Source organism: Homo sapiens, chromosome 7 (genome assembly GCF_000001405.40).
Source record: "Homo sapiens chromosome 7, GRCh38.p14 Primary Assembly".
Classification (NCBI taxonomy): Eukaryota; Metazoa; Chordata; class Mammalia; order Primates; family Hominidae; genus Homo; species Homo sapiens.
In genome coordinates, this window is record NC_000007.14 from 38,948,779 (window position 1) to 38,954,870 (window position 6,092).

The 6,092-nt window shown below is 36.2% G+C and overlaps 1 annotated feature.

Moving 5' to 3' along the window:
* Positions 1,468-2,667: an enhancer, noted in NCBI's record as "CDK7 strongly-dependent group 2 enhancer chr7:38989846-38991045 (GRCh37/hg19 assembly coordinates)". NCBI's record gives its function as "activates an origin of replication core promoter dependent on BRD2, BRD4, P300/CBP, MED14 and CDK7 cofactors, with strong dependence on CDK7, by STARR-seq in HCT116 cells {active_cell/tissue: HCT116}" and the evidence as "EXISTENCE:reporter gene assay evidence [ECO:0000049][PMID:35650434]".

Genomic DNA, 6,092 nt, shown 5'->3' on the forward strand with positions numbered 1-6,092 from the left:
AATGTTTATATTGGAAAAGAAAGAAGGTTAATATCAATGATCTAAATTTCCATTTATTGAAGTTTCAAAAGAAAAGTAAAATCCAAAATAAGCAGAAAATGTGAAATAATAAAGATGATAATAATAGAATTTTTAATTAAATGGAAAATGAATAAACAATAGAAAATCTGTGAAACCAAAAGTTGGTTCTTTGAAAGGATCAAAACCCGATACATTTCTAAATAGACTCATAAAGAAAAAAAAAAGAAAACACAAATTATCAGTATCAAGAATGAAATAGAGACATGGCTACAGATCCTATAGACATTAAAAGGATCATAAGGAAATAGCATGAACATGTCAGTAAATTGGATAATTTAAATAAGTCCTTTAAAGACACAGAATACCAAAACTGACACAGGATAAAATTAATGCCGATACATTCAATCACTCGAGAGATACAAATACTGTACTCAATATAATACCTTTACTTATTCCTCAGAACTCAGCTTAAATATCCCCTCAAGAGGTCTTATTACTCCCACAATTTTAATAAAAATATTGAATGCATAAAACATTTATAAACATGTTCATGTTTATGTTAGTCTGCTCAGGCTACCATCACAAATACCACAGACTAGATGGCTTAAACAACAGACATTTATTTTTCTCAGTTCCGGAGGATAAAGGTCCATGATCAAGATTCCTGCAAATTCTATTTCTGGCAAGCACTTTCTCTCTGGCTTGTAGACAGCCAACTTCTCATTGTGTACTAACTTGGCTTTTCCTCTGTGCCTGTGCAGAGAGAGAAAGACAGAGGCAGAGAGAGAGAGAGAGAGAGAAGAGAGAGAAAGAGAGAGAGAGAGAGAAAAACACATGTTCTGATGTCCCCTCATCTTCTTATAAGGACACCAGTTCTACAGGATTAGGGCCCCATGCTTATGACTTCATTTAACCTTAATTACCTCCATAAAGGTCTTATCTCCAAATAGAGTGACACTGGGATTGGGGCTTCAACATACGAATTTTGTGAGGACACAATTCTGTTTATAACAATAGGATATAAAGAAAAATAATATAATGAGCACCTGGAAACCACCACCAAGTTTAAGGAGGAAAGCATTACCTACCTTAACTTGAAAAACCTGCCCCTACCCTTTCAGAATCTCTTCCCTTTGTATCCCCACTCAGAGCTAGCCATTATCTTGAATTTTGAATTTATCATTGTCTTCCTTCTATGTACAATACTACCACGTTTGTGCACCTAAATAATAAGATGCTATAATAAATTTTATGCAAATGGAACCATACTGTAATTTTTCCGAGACATTTCTATTGTTCAACATTATGCTCCTGAGATGCATCATTTTGTTATGTGAAACTCTAGTTAACTCATATATTTTTATTCTGTGTAACAATTTACTATTGATGGACATTTGGATTGCTTCCAGTTTCTTGTTAAAAATAGTGTTGCCATAAATATTTTTGTAAATGTCTTCTGGTGGACAAATGCAAGAATTTCTCTAGATCAAAGGTTGGCAACCTTTTTCTGTTACTGGCCAAATAGTAAATATTTTTGGCTTGAGAGCCATATGGTCTGTGTTGCAACTACTTGACTCTGCCTGTATACTGTGAAAGCAGCCGTAGACACTACATAAACAAATGGACATGTATATATTGCAATATAACAAGACTTGGGCTAGATTGAGCCCTCAGGGCACAGCTCATTGGCCCTCAGTCCAGATTATAAACCTAGGAGTAAAATGCTGAGTCATGTTTAGTGTATATCTACTTTCTACTTGAATAAATCATGCCAAGGGGTTTTCCAAAGTTGTATCAATTTATACCCCCATCTGCTTTTTAGAAGAGTTCTAGGTACCCTACATCCTTGCAAGACTTGACAATGTTAACATTTTTCCTTTTTGCTAATCTAAAGATGTGAAATGGCATCTGTGATTTAAAATACATTTCCTTGATTACTAATGATATTAAGTATCTTTTTGTAAGTTTTCTCTTTTGTGAATTATTTGTTGAAATGATATCCCCATTTTCTAGTGGGCTGTTTTTCTCACTGTCATTAATTTGAAAAAGTTATTTATATATTACAGATTTTAATTCTCTTCCAGTTGTAGTTCTGAAAATATATGTTCCCATTTTGTGGCTTGTCATTTTACTTTCTTATTGGTGAAGTTTGAGAAATGGAAGGTCACAATTTTGATATAGAATTTATCACTCATAACGATTGTTTTTTCTTCTTTGTGTTTAAACTGCCTAGTCTGATAATTAATGGAGACACCTCAGTTTTCTTTTGTTTATAATTTGCATAGGTTATGTTTGTCTGTGTTTTTATTTTCAAACTTATGTTTCTTATACATAACACAGAGCTGGAATTTGATCTTTTTAGCTAATCTGAAAATATTGTCTACTTTCCTGGATCATTTAGTCTGTTTTGCAGTAATTACAGTTATTTACATATATGGATATATTTCTATCATCGAATTTTATGCCTAATTTGATATCCTACCTTTTGGAGAAGAAATATTTAAGCTGAGACCCCAAGAACAGTAAGGAATTAGTCAGGCAAAGCTGAGGAGACAGCGTTCCAGGAAGAGGGCGTAGTGTTTACAAAGCTCTTGCAGAAAAGGTCTTGCACATTTTAGTAATTGAGCGGAAGCCTATTCAACTGGAGATTAGTGAGCAAGAGGGAGAGCTACAAGGGAAGAGTTTTCAAAACTAGTCAGGGAAAGTTTTTGAGTAGTGAACTGTTGTGGACTGAATTGTGTCCCCCGCAAAATTCATGCCAAAGCCCTAATCCCTGGTATCTCAGAATACGCCTGTTTGGAGATAGTGCCTTTAAAGAGTTCATTAAAATAAAATGCAATAATGACTGGGCCTTAATCCAATATGACTGGTATCCTTATAAGAAAAGGAAATGAGGGTGCAGACACAGAAGGGAAGACTATATGGAGACACAGAAGACGGCCACATGCAGGCTCTGAGAAGAAACTAAACCTGCCCACATTTTGATCTTGGATTTCCAGCCTTCAGAACTATGAAAAATAAATGTCTCTACCTAGCCTGTGGTACTTTGTTATGGCAATCCTAGCAAACTAATACAGAGATGTGACAAATTGTGATTTACTTTTTAAAATTTAACTTTTATTACCTTCAGGTAATCATACCAAGATTCAAATGTGTGTCAAGTAAACTTTCCAGGAGCTACACCATGTGGAGAAGTCACTGGCAGACAGTCCAAAGTGGCTTTTTAATTCTCAAATAGTAGAGGAGTACCAGATGAGAACATTTCCCTTTGCCCTTAATCATGGATGAGCTTGGTAGGAAAAATACACCTCTATGGCATTTAACCTCCTATGCTCTGGACTATCGGTTTAAAGTACATTTCACGAAGCAACAGTAGTTAGTAAAGTTACAGGACCAAGTGTTAGGTAGCTAAGTTCTAGTTGATATCTGCGGGCTGGCTTCTGTCTACAGTATTGACTTGCTCTCATATTTAAAAAGGCATCTGTGCATCACATTCTCTCTTTTGGAGGAATGGGGCTGGGTGGCCTCAAAGATTTCCTTTAAATTTAATTTTAGAGGATTCTCCTGCTTCTTTTTTTGTTTGTTTGTTTTGTTTTGTTTTGTTTTGTTTTGTTTTGTTTGAGATGGAGATTTGCTCTTGTCGCCCAAGCTGGAGTGCAATGGCGTGATCTCGGCTCACTGCAACATCCGCCTCCCAGGTTCAAGTGATTCTCCTGCCTCAGCCTCCCGAGTAGCTAGGATTACAGGAGCACACCACCACGCCCAGCTCATTTTTGTTTGTTTTTCTCTCTCTTTTTTTTTTTTTTTTTTTTGAGACAGAGTCTTGCTCTATCACCCAGGCTGGTGTGCAATGGCGTGATCTCGGCTCACTGCAAGCTCCGCCGCCTGGGTTCATGCCATTCTCCTGCCTCAGCCTCCGGAGTAGCTGGGACCACAGGCACCCGCCACCATGCCTGGCTAATTTGTTGTATTTCTAGTAGAGAGGGGGTTTCACCGTGTTAGCCAGGATGGTCTCGATCTCCTGGCCTCATGATCCGCCCACCTCGGCCTCATGTATTTTTAGTACAGATGGGGTTTCACCAGGTTGGTCAGGCTGGTCTTGAACTCCTGACCTCAGGTGATCCACCTGCCTTGGCCTCCCAAAGTGTTGGGATTACAGGCATGAGCCACCATGCCCTGCCGATTCTCCTGCTTCTTAATTTACTTTTTTACCATGCCCAACATTAAGGCTAAAAGGATTTTTGAAATTGCAAATATAAGAAATATTAACCTTCAGATACTTATACATAGTTATAGACAAATGCTATTGTCCCGGTTAGCTGTTGCAAAACTAAGATTTCTTGACATCCAATTCACTGTGTTGAACTGTTAAAATAGTCCTTCTCTTTGATGTAGTTTCAGCCTGCTGTTCACTGAGACATAATTGTGCCCATAGAGGAAGGCGCATTGGAAGTACTCATAGCAGGATATACTTAAAGGAACTCAAGTTGAATGCAATTACATTATTCAAACTGAAAATCCAGTGAGAAATTGGTTTCAGGGTTCTTTAACAAGTTGGATGTCTCATTTGGAGGAAAATGTTAATGATTTGCCATGTGTCATGAACTGTGCCTTTAATATCAATAATTGAGTAAAGTAGCAAGACAAGTCTTGGATCAGAATTTTTCAGAATAGCATCAGCAACTTCAAACACAATGTTAATCATTTGCTCTGGTTGAAACACAAGAAATAATAAAATATCAAAGGTTTTATTTTGATATATGGGTTCCCTCTAGGTACTGAGAAAGCAGTAGATATTCAGGGTTCAGAAGTAGAGAGTCAAGGGATAAAGTTAAGAACGGGTAAACAGCATGAGTTTTGGAGAGTTCAGAAGAGTGTAATATATCCAAAAGCTAAAGATTTACATATCTCAAAAAAGATCCTGGTCATAACAAGAACCAAAAACAAAAGCTAACCAGCAATAAACTTAACAAAAGTTGTGAGGAAGTTAAAACAAGAAAATTACAACATTTAAAGGAAACTTAAAAAAAAAAAGAAAAGTGAATTATGTGTGGATCTTAGTGACTGAAAATGTAATAAAGGTGTCAATTATTTGAAAATTAATGTGATTCTAACAGAAATATTAGTGACAGGATTCTGATGATTTCTATTCCCTTGGTTGTGCTTTTCAGGAGATAATACATTTTTTAAAGTGAGCCTGAAAAGGGGATTAGAATTCTAATATGTTTATTTTAAGTGCTGAAATACCTTTATATGCTGAATAGCAGGATACACCTTGCGATCTGGGAGTCCATTGTCTTTGTTGGAGATTCCAGGGCCACTGTGATACACACTTCTGGAGCTCCATTCTTACAGTTTTTGCAACTAACGCTCTCTGGAGTTGGACAGTGCACAACTTAAGCAGGGTGCTAGTCGGGGTGACTCTGCAGATTGAGAAATTTTTGTTCTTTTTTTTGTTTCCCAACTCCAAGGGAAGTCTCCTGTTCTTTCTCAAAAAACATATTTGTTTTGAATAACTAATGCCTTACCTGAGAGGTCACAACATATTAAAACTTACCCGAGAAGTCAAATAATCAAGATGTAGAAAATTCACCAGACCAAAAACAGTGTTGCCTTAAAGTTCTGAAGGTATTTCAAAGCTCTCCACTGCATTAAAGCAAAAACAGCGCAAGAAGTCAGGACGTTTCTGAACCCTAGCCAAAACTCTGTCTAAAGGGGAATTTGAGGTTGGTGTTATTGGAAAATCAGTCATTAGCTGCCCATCACTCAGCTGACTAGGAGTAACAATGATGCCAATATTGATTACAGATTGTGCTATCCAAAGGACAGATTTCGGTTTTAAGAAACTCACCAAACCATTAGCTTTTGTGAATGAATACTCCTTTACAAGAATATCCAAATAGGTAATAAAGTACAAAATATGTAACATAAGATGTGTCTAAATCTTTAGTATTGAAACATGTAAAGTGCAAAATATGTAATATTAAATATCTAAATATATAATTAATATGTAATAAAGTACAAAATTTTAGTTTTTATCTTATTAAGTTCTAAACAATGTTTCATAATTC